General features: G+C 40.0%; 1 protein-coding gene across 1 annotated transcript in view, besides 1 other annotated feature; it reads right to left on the bottom strand.

The window, feature by feature from the left end:
* NSD3 (nuclear receptor binding SET domain protein 3) overlaps window positions 1–27,366 on the bottom strand; it is a 112,568-nt gene that overhangs the window by 6,500 nt on the left and 78,702 nt on the right. The window contains exons 15-23 of the mRNA NM_023034.2: window positions 23,241–23,387; window positions 19,593–19,749; window positions 14,272–14,474; window positions 13,190–13,302; window positions 12,284–12,553; window positions 5,264–5,380; window positions 3,337–3,478; window positions 2,103–2,209; window positions 93–297 (exon numbers count right to left, since the gene is read on the bottom strand). Of these exons, the coding sequence (NP_075447.1) occupies window positions 93–297; window positions 2,103–2,209; window positions 3,337–3,478; window positions 5,264–5,380; window positions 12,284–12,553; window positions 13,190–13,302; window positions 14,272–14,474; window positions 19,593–19,749; window positions 23,241–23,387 (1,461 nt within the window). The remainder of the gene's footprint in view (window positions 1–92; window positions 298–2,102; window positions 2,210–3,336; window positions 3,479–5,263; window positions 5,381–12,283; window positions 12,554–13,189; window positions 13,303–14,271; window positions 14,475–19,592; window positions 19,750–23,240; window positions 23,388–27,366) is intronic.
* Window positions 27,193–27,342: a silencer, noted in NCBI's record as "silent region_19120". NCBI's record gives its function as "represses an Ori minimal core promoter by ATAC-STARR-seq in GM12878 lymphoblastoid cells {active_cell/tissue: GM12878}" and the evidence as "EXISTENCE:reporter gene assay evidence [ECO:0000049][PMID:35858748]".

Below are 27,366 nucleotides of genomic sequence, written 5' to 3' on the forward strand. Positions count from 1 at the left end.
CATTTCCTATCCCATGGCATGGAATATATTGTGAGTTACACATAGTTGGCAAAGACACAAATTAGGGAAAGGGTCCTGAAGGTCCAGCTTACCATATGGTGGCTGAGTCAGGTTAAGGCATAGGAGGTGGTATGCTTTGGGACAGTCTTTTTTGTCACACATGACCAGCTCTCCACCATCTCCACATTGAAAACAGTAATCTTCATGCATCTGCTTTGGTTCTGTTTTGATCTTTCGTCTCTTCTGTTTTAACTTAGCATTTTTTGCCTTCTCTTCATTTGTTGACGCACATGCCGACTGGCAGGAAAGAAAGGATCATAGTTTCAAACATCACAGACAGTGCATGAAGCTGGACACAGGAAAACCCTGCAACCTTGCATTCATTTAAATTCATCTGTTGTACAATTACCTAAAAACATCAGGAGGCCTTATGCTGCAACAAATACTATAACAAAAATAAAGTTTTGTTTTCACTGACTTAAAAATTATTTTATTTTTGAGATGGAGTTCTCGCTCTGTTGTCCAGGCTGAAGTGCAGTGGTGCAATCTTGGCTCACTGCAGCCTCGACCTCCTGGGCTCAAGCAATCCTCTTGTCTCAGCCTCCCAAGTAGCTGGGACTACATGTGCATGTCATCATGCCTGGCTAATTTTTGTAATTTTTTTTGTAGAGACAGGGTCTTGCTACATTGCCCAGGCTGGTCTCAAACTTCTGGGCTCAAGTGATCCTCCGCCTCAGCCTTTCATTGACTTTTTTTGGAGACTGAGTCTCACTCTGTCACTAGGCTGGAGTGCAGTGGGGCGATCTCATCTCACTGCAACCTCCACCTCTTGGGTTCAAGCAATTCTCCTGCCTTAGCCTCCCGAGTAGCTGGGACTACAGGCACGTGCTGCCACACATGGCTAATGTTTTGTATTTTAGTAGAGACGGGGTTTCACTGTGTTGCCCAGGCTGGTCTTGAACTCCTGAGCTCAGGCAATCCGCCTGCCTTGGCCTCCCAAAGAGCTAGGATTACAGGCATGAGCCACTGCGCCTGGCCTTCACTGACTTTTGAATAGGGTGCTTTTTATTATTTTTATTTATTTAGTTTTTTGAGATGGAGTCTCGCTCTGTCGCCCATGTTGAAGTGCAATGGCGCGACCTTGGCTCACTGCAACCTCTGCCTCCCAGTTTCAAGCGATTCTTCTGCCTCAGCTTCCTGAGTAGCTGAGATTACAGGTGCGTGCCACCACGCCCAGCTAATTTTTGTATTTTTAGTAGAGATGGGGTTTCACCATGTTGGTCAGGCTGGTCTTAAAACTCCTGACCTTGTGATCCACCGGCCTCAGCCTCCCAAAGTGCTGGGATTACAGGCGTGAGCCACCACGCCCAGCCAGGTGCTTTTTATTTTTAATTGCAAGGGTAGTGGTAAATCCAAGCAACTTTTAGACAACCTGTTAATTTTTTTCATTGAGATATAATTCACATACCACATAATTCGCCATTTTAAAGTGTATAATTCAGTGGCCTTTAGTATTTTGTGGGTTTTTAAAAAGTTTTAAATTAGCTTTTTGCTAATTTCATATTCAATCTGAAATGAAATACATTCTCAGAACCTAACAGACCTTACTGAAACAAGCTTCCTTGGAAAGTCACAGTCTAAATGTTCGATAAGCCCAGCTGATGACCCACAAACTAATCCAGGTGCCCAATTGCCAGCAGGTTCCTGAGATGGTCACAAACACACAAACAGACTTCTTTTTTTTTTTTTTTTTGAGATAGAGTCTTGCACTGTCACCCAGGCTGGAGTGCAGTGGTGCGATCTTGGCTCACTGCAAGCTCCGCATCCCGGGTTCACGCCATTCTCCTGCCTCAGCCTCCCGAGTAGCTGGGACTACAGGCACCCATCACCATGCCCAGCTAATTTTTTGTATTTTTAGTAGAGATGGGGTTTCACCGTGTTAGCCAGGATGGTCTCGATCTCCTGACCTCGTGATCTGCCCGCCTTGGCCTCCCAAAGTGCTGGGATTACAGGCATGAGCCACCGCGCCCGGCCAAACAGACTTCTTAACAGCCCTACTCCTTATCGCCTGTTGACTGGGGGCGCTCCCCTGCAAGACTGACCTTTGGCCGCACTCCTAGAAAACCACTGCAGTTATCTGCTCCACAGTGGCACTCCGTTCTGCCGTTGCCCAGACAATCTAGGTTATAATTAAATGTTAACTCCATCCCTGAAACACAGGAGAAATAATTATTCAAACTCGAGTCATGGGGAAGAGAAAAGCTCTCACAGGCACACTCCCCTAATGAAAAAAAGAGACATCATTTTGGCATGAAGGCGTTTCCCTTGCCAGTGTTCTACCTCATTGATAACAGTGATGGTAAAAAAAGAAAAGGAGAAAAACATCCCCACCCAGGAACAATGACAGCAAAACTACACATCCTCAAAAGAAGTCATGTCCTTTTCACAGCAGTGGTTGAAACCAAAGTGATAGGGTCTAAGAATCTGCAATCTATGCTCAGGAGACTAGGTTCCAGTTCAGCCTTCTTTTCTATAGCTAACTCACACTAGTTTCTAAATGAACAATATGACCATGGAATTGTAACAATACTATTTCCAGTAATTACTGCCTTATATTATGATCAAATAAAGATCCAAAATGAAGGTTTACTGCATACACCAAAGATCCAGGGACTCAAACTAGGGCCTCCTAAGCTTTCTTCTAGCTGGGCTTAAACAATCCACAATGAGTTCTAGAAACACAGTTTAAATCTGTTTTAGCTATAACATTTCTCTTCTCACCAATTTTTCTACAAACTAAACAAAGGAGAAACCAAGTTTTATTGTTCAGATGCTGGATAGGTAAGGAAAAATGAAAACAGCTTTGGCTTCAGAGGCTTTTATGTCTAATTTGAAACAGAATGATCTTTCAAAGTGAAAACAACAACAAAAGATCCCAGCAACTAAGGAACCAGCTGCTGTTAACACAAGCTCATTACTGTTAATATGTTTTAAAAAGAAAACAACAGCTAAAACATCTGGTTACACTCTATGGACAGCAGCTAACTTGGAGAATTCGTTCAGCAGGACTGCGGACACAGAATCCTGTCAGACCCGCTCTTACATAAAAGTTCTCACTAAATTCCCTTTTGAGGTTATAGATTTTTACCTCTCACTGGCAGCTAACACTCAGTTCTAAATATAACTCTCCTTTTATTTGAATACGTTTTCTAAATATAACCTTCCTCTTATTTAAATAAGTTCTTGGGCATCAAGCCTTGAAGAACCATGTCCTAGCTCTATAGGATATTCTTTCTTCCTAGGGAGGAAAGCATGGGGAACGAGTCACTTTTTTACCTGCAGGAATATCACAGAGAGCAAATAGTCCCACTCGAACATCTCCATTCACTGTCCACTTTTGTGTTTCACAGTTGGGATTACAACTGTGGTTCATGAAGCGAGAATAATTTCCTTTTGGGCCGGCATCAATTATACGGTCCTTCAGAAAGAAAAGAAAAGTACCTTTTACATAAATTAAGTCTCTCCCAGAAACATCCAACTCAGTCAAGGATCACAGGCAGCAGCATTTTGCTACCAACTGGTGTTTGACAACTGACAGATCAGGAAATGTGAGGCTGCCTGGGTAATTTACTAAGTTCTCTCCTTTATTTGATGACCTTCAAGTCAAAGTAATTAGGATAAAGTGGGATTTAGTTGCTTTTTAAGTTTGCTTCTAGAAACAAATAGACCATGGAATAATGCTATTTAGAAGATTAGTGGGCCAGAGGTTTAGGAATGGTATTTTCTGATTAGAGATCTCAAAGTTCTGATAACTGCTCTGTTGTTTTGCTGTCAGCCTTCCTTTTCTGCTCCAAGCAGGAAGCAAAACTAGTATAGGAGGGGATACATGAGAGCTTAGGCCAGAAAGAAGAAAGAAAAATGAGAAACAAAACTTGGAGAGCTGTCTGATGGAAGGACTACTGTGTAGGATATATTCTCCAGTGCTTATCTGTTTGCTCTGTTTTTACTTAAAGTTCACAATACATTGAAAAGCTGAATATTCAGGTTTCCTGAATTTGAACTCTAATAATCTGGATAAGCTCCACAGAACTGAGCCTCTCAAGTGCTGTCACGGTGGCTGAAGGGGCCACTGGCAGGGAGGATAGGGTTGCAGGAGCCAGATCCCAGCAATCATAAAGAACGACATTTTAACTGATGTTTATGAAATATGTTTATGAAAGTTGTACAACTTTCAAACAATGACGTATCAGTTAAAATACTTTTAAGCTCCATTTCTTACTTTAATGATATTCTGAATCTCAGTTATAGAGATATGATAGCCTAGAACACAGGAAATATGGGTACTAGTCTTGGTTCTTAAAAGTGTAACAAAATAGTCAACAAATCACTTATCATGGCTGGACATCAGCTTCTTGTCCTCTGTAAATCAGAGAACTGACAAAAAAATTAACTGAGATAATGGATGTACTGTGTATCAAATAGGTCTTACAACTGCAGAGATTAAACTAGCAGCTTTACTGTCATTTTTCTTATGACAGCGCTCATTATTTTCTTTTTTTTTTTTTTTGAGACAGGGTCTTGTTCCATTGCCCAAGCAGGAATGCAGTGGTGTGATCACAGTTCACTACAGCCTTGACCTCCTGGGCTCAAGTGATCCTCCTGCCTCGGCCTCCTGAGGAGCTGGGACCACAGAAACGTGCCACCACACCTGGCTAACTTTATTTTTATTTTTTGTAGAGACAGGGTCTTCCTATGTTGCACAGGCTGGTCTCAAACTCCTGGGCTCATGTGATCTGCCCTCCTCAGCCTCCCAAAGTATTGGGATTACAGGTGTAAGCCACCATGCCCTGCCGAAAAGTTTTAATATACAGAACAATTTGGAGTTTTGGCTCCAGTAGAACTTTAATAACGGTGGTTTATAACTTAGAATCACAGAGTTGATTCTCTCCTTCAGTAATAAAGAAACTGAGGCCCAGGACTTTTTTGACAAAGAGCTCAGACTAAAATCCAGATATGCTAACCCTGCTCCTGGTTTTATTTTCACTCACAGTGCTGTCTTACATGACGTGCAAAGCTTCAGTATCATTCATTTTTTTACTCTGGTATAATTGGCACATTATAGTAGGCAGCACACTAGCTACTGCAAATCATTATGCTCTGCCTGAAGAAAAATCAAATTAAAAGAAACTGAGTTCAAATTAAGACTATGAAACAAAAACAAAAACAAATCCCTTTTTCTTACAAAAAAAAAAAGCAATTTTACCTTGGTAACAGTTAACATATAAAAATTAGTTACACTGTTCTCGTGGGCTCGCTTGATTCGCAATCTGCATTCTTCTTCATCAATTAATTCACCGACGTATTCATTTACAAATTCACCCTGGAGATAAATGTGCAATATGTAACTTAAAATCAGTGTATTATATAAAGCATTGCTTAATGACACATGTATAACCCAAAATAATTAAAGAGAACCCTGAAAATATAACTTCAACCCTAGAAAGAAATGGTTATTTATTCATAGGCATTCAGGTGGCATTATTTTTCTGGTATAAGTGCCTCAGAAGGTGACAATCTGCTTGCCTTTTCTTGCTGACAATACTATTTTTATAGTCCAAGTGACAACATGTGGGGCATTGCTGGGATCTGGGGATAAAGCTAACTCTAGCCTTTGAAGCTATATTATAACAGAATTTTACTAGTTGGTGGCTATGCAGGTTTCGGGGTGAGACCTGGAAGAGATCTGAATCTGAAACAAGTGAGCTCTGTTTTTGTTTTTAAGCTTCTTTTCAAGTAATTACTGACATTCAGAGGAAGTGGCAAAAATAGTACATGGGAAATCTTGGGAACATTCACTCAGTTTCCCCAGTGGTAACATCTGACATAACTACAGTACAATATCAAAACCAGAAAACCGACATTGGTATAATCCAGACTTTACTCAGATTTTACCAATTTTACATGCATACATTTGTGTGTGTATATAATTCTATGCAGTTTTAGCAGGCGTAGGATCATGTAATCACCACTGCAATCAAGACACAGAGCTGGTGCCTCACCACAGAGATTCCTTGTGATACTCACTCCTTTACAATCACACCCCTCCTCCACTCATCTCATCCTAACCCCTGGCAGTCACTCACCTGCTCTCCATCTCTAGAATTTTGTCATTTCAAGAATGTTTTGGCTGGTCGCCGTGGCTCACGCCTGTAATCCCAGCACTTTGGGAGGCCAAGGCGGGTGGATCACCAGAGGTCAGGCGTCCGAGACCAGCCTGGCCAACATGGTGAAACACTGTCTCTACTAAGAATACAAAAATTGGTCAGGCGTGGTGGCACATGCCTGTAATCCCAGCTACTCAGGAGGCTGAGGCTGGAGAATCGCCGAAACCCAGGAGGTAGAGGCTGCAGAGGGCCGAGATCGCGCCACTGCCCTCCAGCCTGGGTGACAGAGCAAGGCAAGACTCTGTCTCAAAAAACCAAAAAAACAAAAAAAGGAATGTTTTATAATGGAATGATATAGTACAGAACCTTTTGAGATTGGCTTTAAAGAAAAAAATCAGGCAGATTCTCTTGAGATCTACCCAAGGTGCTGAGTATATCAACAGGTTGTTCTTTTTAAATCTCTGAGTAGTGTTTCTGCCATTTGTTTAGCCATTCACCCATGGAAGAACATTTGGATTGTTTCCAGATTTTGGCTTTACAAATAAAGCTGCTATGAACATTCTGGTGAAAGTTTTCGTGTGGACATAGATTTTCATTTTCCTGGATAAATGGCCAGGAGTGTGTCTGCTGCACCATATGGTGAGTGTATGTTTCCTTATTAAGGAAACTGCCAAACTATTGTCCAGAGTTGCTATACCATCGTTATGTTCCCACCAGCAGTTCATGAGATCCACTTTCTCCACGTCCTGTCTGCATCTGGTATTGCCACTATTTATTATTTAAGCTGTTCTAAAAGGCATACAGTGATAAGCTCCTTTTAAAATAAGAGCAAATATTGTACATTCAACATTTTGTGTTTATAATTACATAATCATTAACCTTTTCACCTCAAAAGCACTGCTCATTCAATCTAGGTCAATATTCTCTATAAGGACTTACCAATCTTACTAATATATTTTAGAGGAAAATAAATGTCTTGAAAAACAAAAAGGTATTGGCTTATTTTATCAGATTTCTGTCCCATTCTCCCCATTCTCCCTCCCACCCCCCACCCCACAAATTTCCACTAGCCCTTCTCATAGCTCTTAGTATCACAGAACTGTTGGTAGTCCCTAGCTGAAGAGAAAGAAGTACTGCATCACGTTTTCTGATTGTGGAAAATCATTAGGAACATAAGCCAATGGTCTTTAAAACATTTAATCTTTTCTATTGATAAAAATAGATTATAATAAGGGAAAAGAAATGAATGGTTAAACTAGAAGGGCCCTAACCTCCCTGCCTCTTCCTTTGGTGGCATGTGGCGAGTGAGCTCAGCGAGAAGCACCGGTCTGCTTCACGGAGCTACATATGCTTCAGCTGCGGAGCAGTCACTACCAAAGGTGACCACTGGCTTTTTCTCTCTCTTGTTTTTATCTACTGTATAAGCTATGATATGGAATTCAGTTAGAAAAACAGGCCAGGTGTGGTGGCTCATGCTGTAATCCTAGCACTTTGGGAGGCTGAGGCAGGAGGACTGCTTGAGCCAGGAGTTTGAGATCAGCCTGGGCAACACAGTGAAACCTCATCTCTACAAAAAATAAAAAGCATCAGCCAGGTGTGGTGGTGCATGGCTGTGGTCCCCACTACTCAGGATGCTGAGGCAGGAGGATCACTTGAGCCCGAGAGTTCAAGGCTGCAGCGAGCTGTGACTGTACCACTGCACTCCAACCTGGGTGACAGGGCAAGACTGTTTCAAGGAAAAAAAAACAAACCAAAATTCATCTGTAACTGCAGCACCATAAACAGTTAATTTCCTTCACTTTTTCCTTCCAGTCCTTTCTCACAAAGGACATGGGACTGTTCTGCACATTTTTCTATTATATACACTGTCAGCCTCAAATAGCTTTTCCTGTATCCAGTTTGGACTTTGTTATCAGCTGATGAACAACATTTTGCACTGTGATATGATATCAAAGGGTAGCAGATTGTATTGCCATCTTGGCTGCATTGCCACATACTGTTACTATACTTAATGATGTTAGGGCAAATTTTCTGTTTTGAGACGGAGTTTCACTCTTGTTGCCCAGGCTGGAGTGCAATGGCGTGATCTTGGCCCACTGCAACCTCCGCCTCCTGGATTCAAGCGATTCTCCTGCCTCAGCCTCCCAAGTAGTGGGATTACAGGTGTGCATCACCACACCCAGCTAATTTTATATTTTTAGTAGAGATGGGGTTTCACTATGTTGGTCAGGCTGGTCTCGAACTCGTAATCTCAAATGATCCACCTGCCTCAACCTCCGAAAGTGCTAGGATTACAGGTGTGAGCCACTGTGCCCGGCCTAGGGCAAATTTTCTTTAGTGGAAACTCATAGAGGAGAATTTCAACCAAATCAGCTCTACTACTTCTTTTTTCACACATTGGGATTCAAGGTAAGATTTCATTTGAAGAAATAGTTTTGTGACTTTAAAAGCTTGATCATGATTTATTATGGTTTATACTTGTTAGTCTATGAAAATGAGTAAATACAGAAAAATTAAGTGCTGATATCAAATATGAGAGCAAGTCTCATAAACTTGATACCACTGTAAATAAAGATGGAAATATTTCAGATGTCCTGAGACAGATCTTTAGCCTCAAAGAGATGCTGACTAGACTTAAAAACCATTAACTATGAATTCAACTGTGAAAAAAAATTGTAACAAATTCATTAACTTAAAAAATGCTACAGATCTGTCCTGAAAGACCGCAGCAAAGAGGCTGTCAGTCAATATTTAATACCTTAAAATAGACCACAGCAAAAAGGCTGTCACTCAATATTTAATACCTTAAAATAGACCACAGCAAAAAGGCTGTCACTCAATATTTAATATCTTAAAATAGACCACAGCAAAGAGGCTGTCATTCAATATTTAATACCTTAAAATTTTTTCTGAGAAAGAAACAACTTCATAACAAGAAGTTCCCAGTTTGGCACACATTTTCAGGAATCTGTTCTGTGGAGAAAGAAGGGGACTGACTGTGTACATTCCATTTCATATTGGACTTCTTTCCTGTAAATACCCCGAATATCTTTTTCATGTTGCTATAATGTCTCTGTGATTATTACACTTTTCAGTGATTGTATATTTCTAGCTATTTTGTAAAAGACCAATTGTCTTACATCAGCAAACCCTCAAGTGCTAGCTAAAGAGCAGGAAAATCAAGACTGTTTAATAAGTTATCTTACAACACATTTCAGAATAAGTGCAACTACTATTAAAAGGTGTTAACACAATATTAAAGTGGATGGATTTCAGGATGGCCCCATAAACTCCAGTGAAATCATAGGCAAAAATTTGTATATATGATATGCATGGCACTAAAGTAATATAAAACATTTTGCATTATACAATGACATTTTAGATGTGGTTGGCCTTTGACCAAGCAGCCCAGTCCACATATCCAATACATCAGCAAATCCTGTTGGCTCTACCTTCAAAATGTCAGAAATCTAACCACTTCCCTCCTGGCTCAACTACAACCCCAGTGATTCCACGTCACCATTGTCTTTCTCCTGGGCGACTCTAATGGTCTCCCTTTATCGCTCTTTCCTCCTTATCATATGTTCTCCATACCACAGCCACAGTTATCCTTTCGAAACCCAAGTGTGGCAGACAGACTCTCAAGGTGGCCCCGGTGATGCCTGCCTGCTGGTGTTCATGCCATTTTGTCGCCTCCTCCCCTTGTTGCATGTGAGCAGGACCTGTGATTAGCTTCTAACCAACAGAATATGGCATGGGTGACGGGGTGATTATGTGAGTTTATGACATAAGACTTCAGTGTCCATCTTCCTGTAGTGTCTCTCACCCCTGCTGGCTGTAAGGAAGCAAGTGGCATGCTGGGAATCCCATGTGGCAAGGAACTGTGGGCAGCCTCTAGAAGCTGAAAGCAGCTCCTGGCCAACCACATAACAAACAAACACACACACACACACCCCAAAACAAAAACAACTGGAGTCTCTCAGCCCTATAGCTAGAGAACGGAGTTCTGCCAACAACTGTGCAAGCAGGGAAGCAGATCCTTCCCTAGTCAAGCCACAGAGGAGAACCCAGCCCCAGTCGGCACCTTGATTGCTACCTGGTGAGGTCCTCAGTAGAGGACCCAGTTAAGGATTGCCTAGACTCCTGACCCATATTAACTGTGAGATAATAAAATGTGTGTTATGTCTTAATTTGCTAACTTTGTGGTAACATTTGTGTGTGGCAATAGAAAACTAATACACCAAATCAGATCAAGTCACTCCCTAGTAAAATCCTCCAGATGTTCCCCATCCCATGGCAGATATGGCCAGTAAGGCACCATCCTATCTAGCCAGTGGCTGACCTTCTCACCGCAGCTCCTCTCTTTCCTCTCCTGTGGCTCCTCCCCAGGCACAGAACTTCCCTGCTGTTCCTGGAGCACACTGCAGCCTTTACAGCTGCCTGCCTCCAGTCTGACGTGCTCTTCTCCTGCACACACCTTCATGGCTTTCTACCACACACACGGCAAACAGCGCCTCCTCAGGTCTCCCTGAGCCAATCACTTGAAAAGGGCAATCCCTGTCACCAGCTAGCCCCTTTTCCAGCTTTATTTTTATTCACAGCAGTTAATGGCACTCGACATGTTTACTATCTGTCTCCTCAAGCAGATCCACTAAGGTAAGGGTTTCATGTGTCTTGTTCACTATTGTTTTCCAAGTGCCAAGAATAATACCTGCCACATAGGAAGCAGCTTAATACACATGTACCGAATAACTGAATTTCACTTCGAGCAATCTGACCTACAGAAATAGATGCACAAAGGTGGATGACCAAGAACATTCATTATGGAATTTAAAAATATTTATGTATCTATTTATTTATTGGGAATAGGTTAAATTATTTATTTATTGGGGAAATAGGTTATTTATTTACTTATTGGGAAATAGGTTAAATATGGTACATTTTACTATGACTAAAATAAGACTGTTAAAAAGAATGAAGTAAAATCTATATGTACTGCCACAAATGTATTTATGCTATCGTGTGTGAATGGGAAGAAAACGTCTGATACTTATGTTTAGAAAACCCTTAAAAAATGTATTATTATATATGTTTATAACTATATAGAAAACGTTATAAAAGGCTACCTATCAAACTATGAACAATGGTTATCTCTGATGAGGAGATGAAGAATTGAAGGGATGTAGGAAGAATTTCACTCTGCTATCTTTTTTGTATTGTATTGTATTGATTGTATTCTATGACTTTTCTTTACTACATTAGATGGCATTTTAAAATTACAAACCTGATTTTTTTTTTTTTTTGAGATGGAGTCTCGCTCTGTCACCCAGGCTAGAGTGCGGTGGCACGATCTCAACTCACTGCAACCTCCACCTCCAGGGTTCAAGTGATTCTCCTGCCTCAGCCTCCCGAGTAGCTGGGACTACAGGTGCCCGCTACCACGCCCGGCTAATTTTTTGTATTTTTAGTAGAGACGGGGTTTCACCATGTTAGCCAGGATGGTCTCAATCTCCTGACCTCGGCTGTGACCACTGTGCCCGGCTGATTTTTTTTAAAAGGTAGAAAAATGTCAAGAGTAATTTTAGGTTGGACACAGTGGCTCATGCTTATAATCCCAGCACTGTGGGAGGCCAAGGCAGGAGAATTGCTTGAGTCCAGGAGTTTGAGACCAGCCTGGGCAATGTAGTGAGACCCTATCCAGCTACTCGGGAGGCTGAAGTGGGAGGATCTCTTGAGCCCAGGAGTTCAAGGCTTGAGTGAGCTATGAACACGCCACTGTATTCCAGCATGGGTAACAGAATGGGGACCCTGTCTTTAAAAGAAAATAAAAATAAAACAATAAAAAAAACAAGTAAAAACCATTTCACATAGAAATTACCAGTGTCCCCTCTCTCCTTTTTATGACTAGCCACTGGACACTCAAAGTTTAAGCACATTTTATCACTATCTTCTTCCTACTACTCTTCTTTGCTCAAGAAGTACCAAACTCTCAACATGGAAAGTTTTAACATTTTACCACAAATTCCTGCTGATTTTATCCCTAGAACTATACCCTACTGAAGCATTCCTGAAAAGCCAGGTTCTGGTCTCTTCCACCCCCCACCACCATCCCATGCTACCTTCTTAATGCTCCTTTTGGTCCTGAGGCCCCAGCCTCTCCGCTCCGTTTTGATGATCTCTGCATCAGGGTATAGTCTCTTTGTAAAGCACTGGTTCTGACAACGATCTCCAGCTGGGCACACCTGCGGGTGGCATTCATACTGCAACATTCTGTTCAGGCACTCCGATTCCAAGCCACAAGGGTTTTCATCAGCTGGCTTGCAGTTACAGCGGGGAATCTCTGACAGGTCAGCAACCTGGATCTGCACCTTTCCTATTACTTTGTTAGCCTAGAAAACAAAATCGCAAGCGAGAGAGAGGCAGCAGGTAAGTCATCTGGCAATGTGAACAGGAACATCTAAAACATCCACGCTACTGCCTCGTGGTGCTACTCCGAGAAAGGTTGTCTTTCCTGATGAATAAGCTGAGATTAATAACCATCTCTTTTGTCATTTAGTTGACAAAAATATCAAAGCCTCATGTGAATTTTCACTTATTTATCCTGGGTATTTCTACTTTCACTAGATGGAAATTTCATAACTGAAAACAAGAGAAAATACGCTTGTTTGTGGGTTCTCTGAAATAAAGGGAGTAAACACCTATATTCTCATTTGGTGGCGGGATAACCTGGTAGAACAAGAACAGGATTTCACATAAGACATGTTGCTACTAGGTATGAGAGGACTTATCAAAGACCTAATTTTCACAGCACAATAACTATGGCTCCCATTTGATGCTTCCAACAGAAGCTCTGTTTTACAGAAGACTGTGATAATTAGCAAAAGTTTGCACAAGTCAAAGAGGGTCTTTAACTACTAAAGAGTAATGCATTTCGTCTCATCTATTAAATAACAATGCTTTCATAGTAAAGACTTACTTTGTTTCTTATTTTATTTGGCAATCCCAGGCCAGAGATAAAGACTTACTTTGATGTGTTTGTAGGGAGGGGGTTTTCTTGAGTTTTTTTCAATCTCTAGGGCTTCTTTACTTTCTCTTTGTGCTTTCAATTCCTGGAAACGTTTTGCAGCTTCTTCCAGTGCTGCCAATAAGATGATACAAAGTATGTAAATACCAAAAACCAAAGGAAAATTGATGGGATAGTAGTTTTACGCTGCCTTCCCAATGCTTTGCATCTGGCCTGAGATTTTTCTTTTTAGAATTATTTTCTGGAAGTTACTGTTTACCACCAGGATGGGGTAACAAAGAAATAGGATATAACTCACTGAACACTATGCTCTGTGCATGCTGTAGCCACAGGGAAGAGGCTCTACTTCAATGATCAGAAGTCTCCAAGTGACCCTAAGAGCAGCTTTTTGCCTTGTAATAGATTTAAATTCATTTTACCCTTACCAGAAAGCCAAACTTGCTGGCAACTCATTGCAAAAGCAGTTGTAAGGCTTTTCATGGCAAGTCTTTACTACTCTTCTGTTGCAAAGGAACTTCACTTGATTAAAAAGACTATTCTCAGGCTGGGCTTGGTGGCTCAGAGCTATAATCCCAACACTTTGGAAGGCTGAGGTGGGCAGATCGCTTGAACCCAGGAGTTCAAGACCAGCCTGGGCAACATGGTGAAACCCTATCTCTATAAAAAGTACAAAAATTAGCTGGGCATGATAGTGGGCACCTGTAGCCCCAGCTACTCGGGAGGCTGAGGCAAGAGGATCACTTGAGCCCTGGAGTTCAAGGCTGCAGTGAGCTGTGATCATGCCACTGCATTCTAGCCTGGGCAAGAGTGAGACCCTGTCTAAAAAAAAAAAAAAGACTATTCCTAGAATAATCTGTGTTTATAGAAAGACACTGAAGAAATTCCTTTCAAATACACAGCACAGTCTACAATATTGAAATGTATTTTAAACCTGGTTCTAATGTGACTGGAAGCTTATGGACACAGGATCATAATGTCTAGTGAAAATTCTCTAATACCAGAAATATTAGGGAGGTGAGGAGATGTTGAGAAACTGACACCGGAGTTGTAGTTTTGAGTCACTGTAAACATCATCCAGCTTACCCTTTTTGAAGGTCTTGTTAATACTAGTCTGCCCTTCAGCAAAGCTTTTGTCTCCTTCAACATAAGGGAACACTCTGCCCTGGTGTACCCAGTAGTAGTCATGAGAACCAAAGAAGAATACAGGGAAGTCCCCCAAGTCATGTTTAAGGCCCTGGATGTTCAGTGGCACAGACCTGGGGTTGCAGATCTCTGCTGGCCACCATCTGAAAACAAAAGCAATTTTAGATCAAGAGGGCAAAAACGAAACAAAAAACCACTATTTACAAGATTGGCAGAAGGGAAAAAAGTTTTTGTATTTTGCAATTTTCATTCAGATTCTAAGAACATAAAATACCACACATCATTATAAAAAGTAATTAATGAAATAGTGAACACAGACTAAACAAATTAGGCCCTAAACACCTGATCTACTTTCTTTTAAAAAATATTTCATATTTATAAAATATATATCATGAAAATGTTCTAAAATGTAATAATACTGAACCTACTACCCAATGATATTCCAAACCTAATTTCAATCCTAGAAAAGTCATGTTTCCCCCCAAACTTAATACTGAGATTATCTTTCAAGGTATAACAGTTTATTTCTAGTAGTCAATGGAATCATTTTGAGAATAAACTGATGCTATCATAAAGAATGGCCACTCCCATTCAAATCAGCATTTAGTCTCGAGTCAACCTGGGCAAACACCTCTTGGTCAAATGTACTAGGTTTTATATCACTTTGTATTTCAGAATCTAATTCATCTTAGATCATAATTAAACATGGAATAGTGGACAGAATGAAAATATAACTGTTTCAGGCTATGATAATTGAATACTACAGCAGTCACTAAATGAAACCATCTGTGAGGAAATCTGACAGTTTCTAGCAAGCAGACAAGTTAAGAATTGAATGATGAAGCTAACAGTCAGAAAATGAGGCCAACCTCATGGGCTTTTGTAGTAAATATACATAGACTTAAATTTTTTGAATCTCTTATTTTACATATGCTTAATAAAACAATTTTTAACACATAACTGTATTATTGAGAAGATAAATGATGACATGATTGCACTCCCAGATTTATATTGCAGAACTTGATAAAGTGTCACCTGAAAGGTACTCTGCTGTTCATCTAAGAATTGAAAACATGGGTAAGAATCCATGCGCAAATTGTAAACAAAACAAAAACCAATATTTTCTGTGATTGATACTTGGTTCGTTCTCAAAGCAGGCTCTATTTATTTCTAAACAACTTTAAGGTAATTAAATATGTATACAGTTACTGCCTTCACTAACGTCAGTTAGGAAGAGTCACATGTTCTGCCTGGGTTTGTTCCAGGTCCTCATATTTTCCCCCAAGAAGCAACACATTGGAATAACTAGTTATTGAAAATAAACAGCTTCATGCAGCCCCACTGGGCCTGACTGGAAAGAAATACATTAAGAATTAGTTCACGGATGGAAGTCTTTCCAAAACATACAAGAAGAATCTGACCTAGATATAAGATCTCACTGGACTGTGAATTTAATTGGAGCACTGTTTTGGGTTTCTTTAAAATGTAATATAATTAAAATTTAAGTGTTAAAATAAATCAAAGACATTTTTATATCCATAACTTTAAAAAAATTGAAGTTTATTTGAAGATCTGAAGGCTTCTTACATTGTTTTAGATATTTCTTATCTAGAAATGTCTTAAATGTATTAATTTTCAAACTGTGCACCCTTCTCCATGCCAGAAAGATACATATTTTTCAATTATGAAAGCAGTATGCACTTCTTCTAAAAATTAAAACAATGCAGAAATGTATAGTAGAAAAGTGAAAATGCCTCTTCTTGTAATCTCATCCTTGACACTATTAACATTAGATGTATTTCTTCCCAGGTATTAAAAACATACTGTATTGGCCAGGTGTGGTGGCTCAGGCCTGTAATCCCAGCACTTGGGGAGGTTGTGGCGGGCAGATCACTTGAAGTCAGGAGTTCAAGACCAGCCTGGCCAACATGGTGAAACCCCGTCTCTAATAAAAATACAAAGATTAGGCCAGGCACGGTGTCTCACGCCTGTAATCCCAGCACTTTGGGAGGCCAAGGCGGGTGTATCACGAGGTCAGGAGATCGAGACCATCCTGGCCAACATGGTGAAACCCCATCTCTACTAAAAAAAAAAAATACAAAAAATTAGCCAGGTGTGGTGTCGGGTGCCTGGAGTCTCAGCTACTTGGGAGGCTGCGGCAGGAGAATGGCGTGAACCCGGGAGGCAGAGCTTGCAGTGAGCCAAGATCGTGCCACTGTACTCCAGCCTGGGCAACAGTGTGAGACTCTGTCTCAAAAAAACAAACAAACAAACAAAAAAAACAAAGATTAGCCAGGCATCATGGCATGCATCTGTAATCCCAGCTACTTGGGAGGCTGAGGCAGGAGAATCACTTGAACCCGGGAGGCGGAGGTTGCAGTGAGCCAAGATCGCGCCACTGCACTCCAGCCTGGGCGACAGAGCGAGACTCTGTCTCAAAAAAAAATACAAACATTAGCCAGGCGTCATGGCATGCATCTGTAATCCCAGCTACTTGGGAGGCTGAGGCAACAGAATCGCTTGAACCCAGGAGGCAGAGGTTGCAGTGAGCCGAGATCGTGCCACTGCACTCCAGCCTGGGACAGAGCAAGACTTTGTCTCAAAAAAAAAAAAAAAAAGAAAAAGAAAAAGAAGTGGGGGGAGGTTTGATTTCAATACCCCAGATCTCAGCTAAAAATGAAGTTCTAAAATTTAAATGGGTAAACATGTCTAACATATGTAAAAGAGAGAGAACAGGCTGGGTGCAGTGGCTCATGCCTGTAATCCCAGCACTTTGGGAGGCTGAGGCCGGTGGATCAGGAAGTCAAGAGATTGAGACCATCCGGGCCAACATGGTGAAACCCCGTCTCTACTAAAAATACAAAAATTAGCCAGGCGTGGTGGAGCGTGCCTGTAGTCCCAGCTACTCGGGGGGCTGAGGCAGGACAATTGCTTGAATCCAGCAGGCAGAGGCTGCAGTGGGCCAAGATCACACCACTGCACTCCAGCCTGGCAACAGAGCGAGACCCTGTCTCAAAAAAAAAATTAAAAAGAGAGAGGGAGAACAAACATAGCTCTTGCTAAAAAAATTACAGTATATTTAAAATTTTCTAGAAATATATTTTAGAGCCGGGCACAGTGGCTCACATCTGTAATCCCAGCACTTTGGGAGGCCGAGGCGGGCGGATCAGCTGAGGTCAGGAGTTCGAGACCAGCCTGGCCAACACAGTGAAACCCCGTCTGTACTAAAATTACAAAAATTAGCCAGGCGTGGTGTCAGGTGCCTGTAATCCCAGCTACTTGGGAGGCTGAAGCAGGAGAATCGCTTGAACCTGGGAGGTGGGGGTTACAGTGAGCAGAGATCATATCACTACATCCCAGCCTGGGTGACAGAGTGAGACTCCGTCTCAAAAAAAAAAAAAAAAAAAAAAAAAAAAAAAAGAGAAATATATTTTACCTAGGATTCTAACTGAAAAGCAGAACTCTATTGTGCTATCTTGAATAGTATCTATTTTCTTTGTAAAATGATAAATATATGCCTCAAAATGTAGAGTTTTTTAGTTTAATTGTGTTTTTTTGTTGTTGTTTTTTTCTGAGACAGGGTCTTGCCCTGTTGCCCAGCCTGGAGTGCAGTGGCACAATCATGGCTCACTGTAGCCTTAACCTCCTGGGCTCCAGCAATCCTCCAGACTTAGTTTCCCGAGTAGCTATGATGCTACCACACATGGCACGCCACTATGCCCAGCTAATTTGTATATATTTTGTAGAGACAGAGTTTTGTCACGTTGCCCATGCTGGTCTTGAACTCCTCAGCTCAAGCAATCCACCTGCCCCAGCCTCCTACAGTGCTAGGATTACAGGCATGAACCACTGTACCTGGCCAAGTTTTAAAACTGTATCACTATACCTGTTCAGCAAAGGCTCGTTGAAGCCTTAAAGGAGAAAGTACTATTAAAATAATGGTACTCACATACTTCCTGCTTCATTCCCTTAAGACTAAAGCCTCTTAATGGAATAATCTCTCCTTAAATTCTAAAAAGTTTTCTCTTTACACATGGTTTAGGGCTAAAATGGACGAGATTCAGGGGCAAAGAGCTATTTTGACCAGAATATAAACTTGATTTTATTAGAAATCAGAAATCAACATATATCTAATTAAGACACAAAGAAAATATCATCTCTGGCCAAGTGTGGTGGCTCATTCCTATAATTCTAGCACTTTGGGAGGCTGAGGCAGGAGGATCGCTTGAGCCCAGGAGTTCGAGACCAGCCTGGGCAATATAATGAGTCCCCATCTCACTATATTTATTCAATTTAAATTAAAAAAAAATTTTTAAAGTTTTTTTTTGGCCGGGCGTGGTGGCTCACACCTGCAATCCCAGCACTTTGGGAAGCCAAGGCAGGCGGATCACAAGGTCAGGAGATCGAGACCATCCTGCCTAACACAGTGAAACCCCATCTCTACTAAAAATACAAAAAAATTAGACGGGCATGGTAGCGGGCGCCTGTAGTCCCAGCTACTCGGGAGGCTGAGGCAGGAGAATGGCATGAACCCGGGAGCCGGAGCTTGCAGTGAGCCAAGATCGCGCAACTGCACTCCAGCCTGGACGACAAAGCAACACTCCGTCTCAAAAAAAAAAAAAAAAAAAAGTTTTTTTTGGAAAAAAAAAATCATCTCCACTGTCCATATAAGACCTTTTATTCCAAAATCTAGTAGTACATAGCCCATTAGTATAAAACAACTTTCAGGACTTAAAAACAAAAGTTGGTGGGCATGGTGGCTCATGCTTATAATCCCAGCACTTTGGGAGGCTGAGGTGGGCAGATTGCTTGACTCATGAGTTTGAGACCAGCGTGGGCAACATGGCGAAACATTGTCTCTACTAAAAATACAAAAAACTAGCCAGGGGTGGTGGTGTGAACCTGTAATCCCAGCTACTTTGGGGGCTGAGGTGGGAGGATGGCTTCAGCCAGCAGGTGGAGGGTGCAGTGAGCTGCGATACCACTGCACTCCAGCCTTGGTGATAGAGCCAAACCGCCTCACAAACAATCAACCAACCAATCCCAAAGAAAAAGAAAAAGAAATTCAATAATGAATTAGGAACATAACCTTCCCAACCCCTTAAGAACCCAGCCTCAAAACATGGTTCTTTTCTTTTTTTTTTTTAAGGAAGTAGGTCCATGCTGTCTACCTATCTATCTCCAAGTCACTCTGTATCCAGAGTATGAAACTGGTCTGCACAATGATTGAATACTTCCTCTTTGTTCTTGGAAAAACTTGCCTGTAATTTCCCAATTTGACCCAAACAATCTGCTTGTAATGTAGTTTCTTGCCAGCTTTACAGTCATTACAATTCCAGCAGCCTTCTGGCATTTCTATGCTTAGGCATTCCGGGTGGAAGGAAGCTGGGCACGATTCACAGCAGAGCAATCTTCCACCTTGAAACAAATAAACAGTCTTAATAACTGAGAAAAGAGGAGAGAGAAAAAGAAAGAAAAAGGAGAAAGTTATCTTTTCAGCACATTAAATTTGTTTCAAATTGGGGGAAAATAACAAAGGGACTGAGTCATATCTACAGTGATGGATTAAAATAGCAAGTGAACGTATTTAGCTACTTTTCAGGGTTTCAGTGGCCAGAAACTCAGAGCTTCTGAGTAGTACCAAAAGCATCCATGTACTCTTTACTCCTTTAAACTATGGGCTACTGAGGTATCAGTTTAGAAGCTAAACTCTTAACATATGACCAAATTGAAGCATAAAATCTTTTGACTGAGTAGATTTGAGAGGTTTTTCAAACATGTAAGTAGCAACTTTCTTTTCTCCTTCAGAGGTAAGAAAGAAAGCAAGTCATCGTTGTATTTTAATCCAGTGCCATGGTTAACTAAATTCCTTTACAATATAATTAGCAAGCAAAAAAATAGCCAATAGGTTGATCAGTACTTTTTTCTTTCCATAAAGAATACAAAAAGCAAAAGGAACACAGAATCTCAAATTGGTGATTATGTTATCATTACCTTTTGGTGAAGATTTACAGGCTATACAGCAGTGGTTTGCAACTTTTTCATCACCAAGGATTCCCTTTTCCCTCCTCATGAACCCACATAATTTCAAATATTTTATCAACAACCAAAAAACCTCTCTTTCTCTCTCTCTCTCCCTCTGTGTGTGTGTGTGTGTGTGTGTGTGTGTGTGTGTGTGTGTATGTGTGTGTATTCTCTCTATATATATACATATACAGAGAATATATTTTGAGACGGGCTCTATCTTGCCCAGGCTGGTCTTGAACTCCTGGCCTCAAGCAATCCTCCTGCCTCAGCCGCCCAAACTGTTGGGATTACAGGCGTGAGCCACCATGCCTGGCCAAAATCTGCATTTTAAAAGTAACAATTTCTCCGATTTTTATTAACCAAAGAAATATATAACTGCCAATCAGAGATTCTGATCCCAATAACAAAACTAGTATTATCCCATTAAATTGTTAAAATCATAGCCAAATTTTAAAAACTCATGCAGTTTGATTCTGTACAAATGTGTAATTGTTAGATTTTCTGAAATATTAAACATAGTTCAAAAATTTTGTTTACATAAGTCTCTTCTGACTTCATATTGAGAACCACTGCTTTATAGCATAAAATTAAGTAGTTATCAGTATAGAATGAAGTACCATATGCAAGGAGCTAATTCCAAGTTCCCTATCAAAACTCTTTCCTTTTAGATACACAAAATACTCTCTGGATTGAGACCAAAACAGGTGTGGCAAACAAAATAGTTGTAAATGCTAAGAAATATGAAATTCTGGGAGGAAATTAGGTATTTCTAATATGTATTTCAATACGTGACAGCGAATGTTAACCACTGAAGATGAAATATAATAAAGACAAATATTTATTGAAAAAAATTGATCTTTTCATTGGAAAATCAGGTCTATAACCCATGAGTGTACGAAGATTTAAAGTCTCATAAGCAAAAGGGTAAGAGCCCTCTATGCAACTTTATCAAATCACATGCTCCAACCTTCTGAGGGCTTGCTACCAATTTTCCAGAAAATCTTGTCTTCCTATAAATTTTCAAACTTCTGATTAACATAAAAACAAAAAGAAAATCCATATACAACCCATGATGAATTAAATCACTGTATTTCCTCTGCTTAAAAGCTTTTACTTCAATCATCAAGATTTTTTTTCTGGGACTACATCTCAGTATAGATTAATTGATTCAATTTACCAACCTAGAGATCAGATGCCCAAGTGCTCTACACTTAGGGAGGGAATTTGTCTATAAATTTAAAGTAAAATGAGATTATTCATTTTTTTTTTCCATCAGAAAGGAATGACCAGCAGGGAGAAAAGTCTGCAAACAGCTTTAGAGGACATGTGATTATTAGTACTGACCTAGAAAAGTCAGGCTGGCCATTTTTAACATTATGGAATAGTTCTTAATTTTAAGTCTTATTTCAGAGGAAATACAGAGCCAGAATCATCAGAGAAAATCATCATGATAAAGATGCTTAAAATACACAAGGGAAATAAAAAAAAATGTGAATGGTCCACCTTGGTGCTATGCAAGAAAACTAGGATACAAGAGAAGTAAGATATGGTTCAAGTTAAGCAAACAGAGGGCTCAAAATAATTTCAATTCATGTCAAAGTTAATACTGAGTACTGAAAACAAAGTAAGCAACAATTGAATTAATCTAATTTTATATAGGTACCAGCAAGAAAATAAAGCATTTCCTAAAATGTCTCAGGCAGAATAATTATGGAGTAAGTCAAACCTATGTTCATTTTTTTGTTTTGGAAGTAGGCAGTATTATCAATAAGGTGATATAATCTGACTGCAGAAAACAGACAAAAAAGCCAGTACTCTCTCCAATACTTCTAATATGTTCCAATCGACTTGCTTAGTCTCACTTTCTTTTAGTCATGAGTTGCCACTTCAGATGTCTGACAAAGAGCAAAGATACATCAAACAGGCAACACAAAGAATTTTTTCAAAAGCCCATTTCAAATACACCTACTGTGTGTGTGTGTGTGTGTGTGTGTGTGTATAGAGTATATTAGTTATGAATGAAGTTTTCTTTAAAGATTCTGAACTTGGCCCCAGATCATAATGGGAATGTACACAGGAAAAGGCCCTCACCTTTCAAGCTCATTTATTTTTCCCAGTGGGATAATAACTCCCCAAATAATACATCATTGTTAAATCATTTTTATAACAGGTAGGCTATGGAAAACTAAACACAATATAAAGTTTTCTTCCATAGGTTAAATTAACTGGGAGAACAGAAATATCCATTTAGCTCTTGGTACTGTGTGGATAATTATCCATCAGCAATTCAGCTGGGCTGCCTTCCAGCATCCAGTATTAGGGGTATTCTCCCCAACCAGCTTCCCACCAATGTCTCCTAAGGGAAGGGCAACTAGTTTTCATAGCATCTTAACCAAACATTTAAGAAGCCCAATGACAGAACATATTCTAAAAGCAAACTTTCAAGTATCAGTATCTTAGTTTCCCTCTTTTAATAACCTACCTTGTTATTTAGTTGAAAGTTAGTAACAAATTATACCCTATCTTTTCTATTCCAACTTGAATGATAGTTTCACACCAGGAAAAAGAGAAAGAACATTTAGAATATGATTCTATATTTATACTGACCAAAATCCTAGTCTTCCTATTTTAATAACTTATAAATATGGAATGTGTAAAAATTTATTCAAGGGAAGAGTATGTAAAAATGTGCAACAATGGAATTATTTTAAGCCCTTTTTAATAATTGTGCAGCCATATGAAGAAACAGTCACAACCACCAAGGCAGAATTTACCAAAAGCAACAGATGGTGCTTGACAGGCATACATTTCCCCCCTATATTGAAAGAGAAAAAAATAGGAAATGCAAAAATAAAAGCAAGAGAAACTATTTTGATTATTACCTTTCTCACATTTCTTTTTGGAAGCTGACGAAGAAGGAATCATAGGTAATTTCATCAACTCAGCACGATTTGATTCATTCAGTAGGTAGTGGGACTTATAGGCATATGAACTGAACATGGGGTCTGAATGGTCCTGAACTATCAGCCCTATACGAAACAAACAGAAAGAGATGAGCTGCAATGAAACTACCCATGATTCCATGAGGAAAAAATAAACCAACACCTATTATGTATGCTTCAAAGCTGGGGTGGGGAGGGCGAAAATGAGAATATGAAGAAAAAAGAAAGATCTGACAGAAAGGTTTTCTACAGTTTTCAAAGGGAGTCTGAACTACTCAATTCCTTATCCCTATATATTATAGAAACCTAAATTCTGCAGAAGAAAACTTCAAATAATTTGAAGATATAAACACTTGACATCATACAGAAAACCCCTTAGGGAAAACAAAGCTACACTGCTTCGTATTTGGATGTACAATGACGACAGCCCAAAGAACAAAATGATATTATATATCATGTAATGAGATAGAAATAAGAATCATTTACATAAGTAGACCCTGATCTACCTTCAATATATCAAGTAGCACTTTAATGCAGAATGGAAGTCTCTCCTTTTTTCTATTCATATCTTCAGACATACTCAAAGAAATCCTAACTTTCTCTGCCAGATAATGAAACTCTTCTCTATCAATATGGTACATGTTTTATTTCATTTTATATTATATATATATTTTTTGAGACAGAGTCTTGCTCTGTCACTCAGACTGGAGGGTAGTGGTGTGATCATGGCTCATTGCACCTTTGAATTTCTGGGCTCTAGCGATCCTCTGGCCTCAGCCTCCCGAGTAGCTGGGACTACAGATACATGCCACCACACCAGGCTAATTTTTAAATTTTTTTGTAGAGATGGGGTCTATAATAGCTTTTGTGCCCAGGCTGGTCTCTAACTTCTAGCCTTAAGTAATCCTCCCACCTTGGTCTTCCAAAATGTTGGGATTACAGGCATGAGCCACTGTGCCAGGCCTGGTACATGATTTTAAAGGAGCCATAATTTCCTGAACTTTACTGAGGTAATGCAAACATTTTCATTTTTTCCCTGCCACAATATAAAAGGATTACCAACTTAAGCGTTAATAAAAACAATCTTTTTGATCTACCAATTACAGCTATGCTACTTGGAGGAAAACACTAAAGCTACCTGTGGTTCCCTCTTCTTTCCCTTACCCCTCCCCCAGTTAATTCATGATGTAGCTATAAGCCACTCCTAAACCTAGGCAACTGTGAGACCAGGGGACATTTCTCTATCCTCTATCTTGGTTACTGGATCAGTGTATAATGATGTAGGATTTACAATACAAATTACGGCAGCAGTTTTATTTAAGAGATCATTTTGAAGGGGAGGGAAATTACCATTTACTTTTTTCTGTGGGCATTGTCTTCATACTCTACACTGAGACGAATTCAAGAAATATCTCTGACCTAAATAACAGAATGGAACTTGAAATTACTAACAATATGACAATCTTCTTTTTGTTTTGTTTTTTTGAGACAGGGTCTCGCTCTGTCACCCAGGCTGGAGTCCAGTGGCAGATCACAGCTCACTGCAGCCTCAACCTCCTGGGCTCGAGTGATCCTACCACCTCAACCTCCCGAGTAGCTAGGACTACAGCCATTTGTCCCCATGCCTGGCTACGTTTTTGATTTTTTTGTAGAAACGAGGTCTTGCTATGTTGCCCAGGCTGGTCTTGAATTCCTGGGCTCAAGCAATCCTCCCACCTCAGCATCTCAAAATGCTGGAATTACAGGCATGAGCCATGGTGCTCAGCCAGAGTCTTCTAATAAAAGTTATATGGGCTGGGCATGGTGGCTCACGCCTGTAATCCCAGCACTTTGGGAGGCCGAGACAGGCGGATCAGCTGAGGTCGGGAGTTTGAGACTAGCCTGACCAACATGGAAAAACCCCATCTCTACTAAAAATACAAAAGAATTAGCCAGGCGTGGTGGCACATGCCTGTAATCCCAGCTACTTGGGAGGCTGAGGCAGGAGAATCGCTTGAACCCAGAAGGCAGAGGTTGCAGTGAGCTGAGACTGCACCATTGCACTCCAGCCTGGGCAACAAGAGCAAAACTCTGTCTCAAAAAAAAAAGTTATATAATGTTGAAATGAACTTTGTACATTTAATAGAGGGAGATGGAGTAGTGTAAAGGAATATGGGCTTTGAAATAAGAAGGATTAAGTACAAATACTAGTCCCTCCATTTAACAACTTGTGTGTCATTAGGTAAATTATTTAATCTAGGTTTCAGTGTTCTCACCTGTATACTATGGAGAGATAACTTCTTAGGGAAACTGTGGCAATTCATTCAGATAATGTTTAGTAAAGTTTGACTTACATATGCAAAATAAATTGCTATTATTTACTGTTAAAATGAAAAGAAAACTCCAGCCTACATTATCCATTTAAAATTACCATTACAAAGAAAGGCATAGAATGTTAAGTAACTTATTTTACACAACCCTCTAAGATGAAAGGAGATGCTAAAGAATGTGCACTACACTGAAAAATGTCCGCACACTTCTTGTGACTCCACGATTAGGTGGCATGTGGAAGAGGAGTGATGTCAAACCCTGAAACATTTCAAAAAATATTTCCAGACATTGTAGTCCTTAAGAAATAGCTTAATGATTTTAAACACCCAATAACCAAGAACTAAGAGAAAATCTATGTGGAGGGAAAAATTCTGTATAAGGCAAGAAACAAGCAAAACAAGCTAAGTTTTCTAATACCCAAACAGAAATGACTAAAGTGCTCCTTTCTGTGTGTGGATTTATTACAGTTATGTCTCCTTAAAAAAGGTGACCTTTATAAATACTTATAAAAGAACACATATTATTTACTTCTGAAAGACTTTTGATTTAAGCCTTCCCAGCATCTGATCTATTTAGAGTAAGTCTTTGTCAAATGCTAGAAAATAAAATGAAGGTTATGTTTACCATACAAAGTTTCACAGTTAAAATATGTGGGAATTAAATAATTTTGCTTAAACAGGCATTTAAATTCAGTAAATATTCCTGGATAACCGTCAAATTGTTAAGATGTAAATACAGATTCTGTTGTTAAACATGGGTTTTCCCTCCACTTACATTATTCTCAGAATTTAATCAAGTTATGTAAGTTAAATTTAACAAAGTGGCTAGAGTTTCTATAAGCGTACAATTTTCTAGCTGTCCTAAATTGAAAATACTATATTTTGTTTCACAACTCACTGCAGTCTTGAACTCCTGGGGTCAAGTGATCCTCCCTCCTCAGCCTCTCGAGTAGCTGGGACCACAGGCACACACCACCATGCTTGGCTAATTCCTTTATGTTTTGTAGAGATGGGGTCTTGCTATGTTGCCCAAACTGGTCCTGAACTCCTGGCCTTAAGCAATCCTCCTGCCTCAGCCTCCCAAGTGTTGGGATTACAGGCGTGAGCTACTGTGCCCAGCCTGAAAATACCTATTTTAAAGGTATCCCAATTATTGAATGAAGTAGAGCAAAAGAGAATATTAATTAATCTACTGATGGCATTTGATTCAGAATGTGCCCCAACATAAGCCAACATAATAGTTATAAACTTGATATTAAAATGCGGGCTAAATTATGCATGCTTATACACTGACAGGAAATGTCAGTGCCCAGCAATGGTAGCATAGAGTTTGCAAAGCAATAAGAGACTTTATGTTATCACTGCCACTCATCCGTTTAAAAGACTCTAAAGCTAAACATTCAACTGATAATACAATAATTTTTTCTTCTAATCATTACTTTCTTAGGAATGCAGAGATGGGAAAGGCAATGAGTGACACCTTTTTATTTATTATTTGCCCACCTGTTACGATATAGCAGGAAACATTTCAGACCTACTCCTCCATGATACCAGCCAGGTTTCAGAGCAGGATACATTTGACACTGCTGTAGTTAAGAAAGACACAGTACTTCCTGCTCCAAAGGCAGACAGTCACATGTGCTTATAAAACAGGCAAACAGAAAGTAGTGTCTACTACAGACCCTGCTAGCTACTCCACAAAGGACTACGATTTATTTAATCTTTTACTGCCTACCTCCAAGTAATGTTTTCATAAT

The sequence above is a fragment of the Homo sapiens genome, chromosome 8 (genome assembly GCF_000001405.40).
Source record: "Homo sapiens chromosome 8, GRCh38.p14 Primary Assembly".
NCBI lineage: Eukaryota > Metazoa > Chordata > Mammalia > Primates > Hominidae > Homo > Homo sapiens.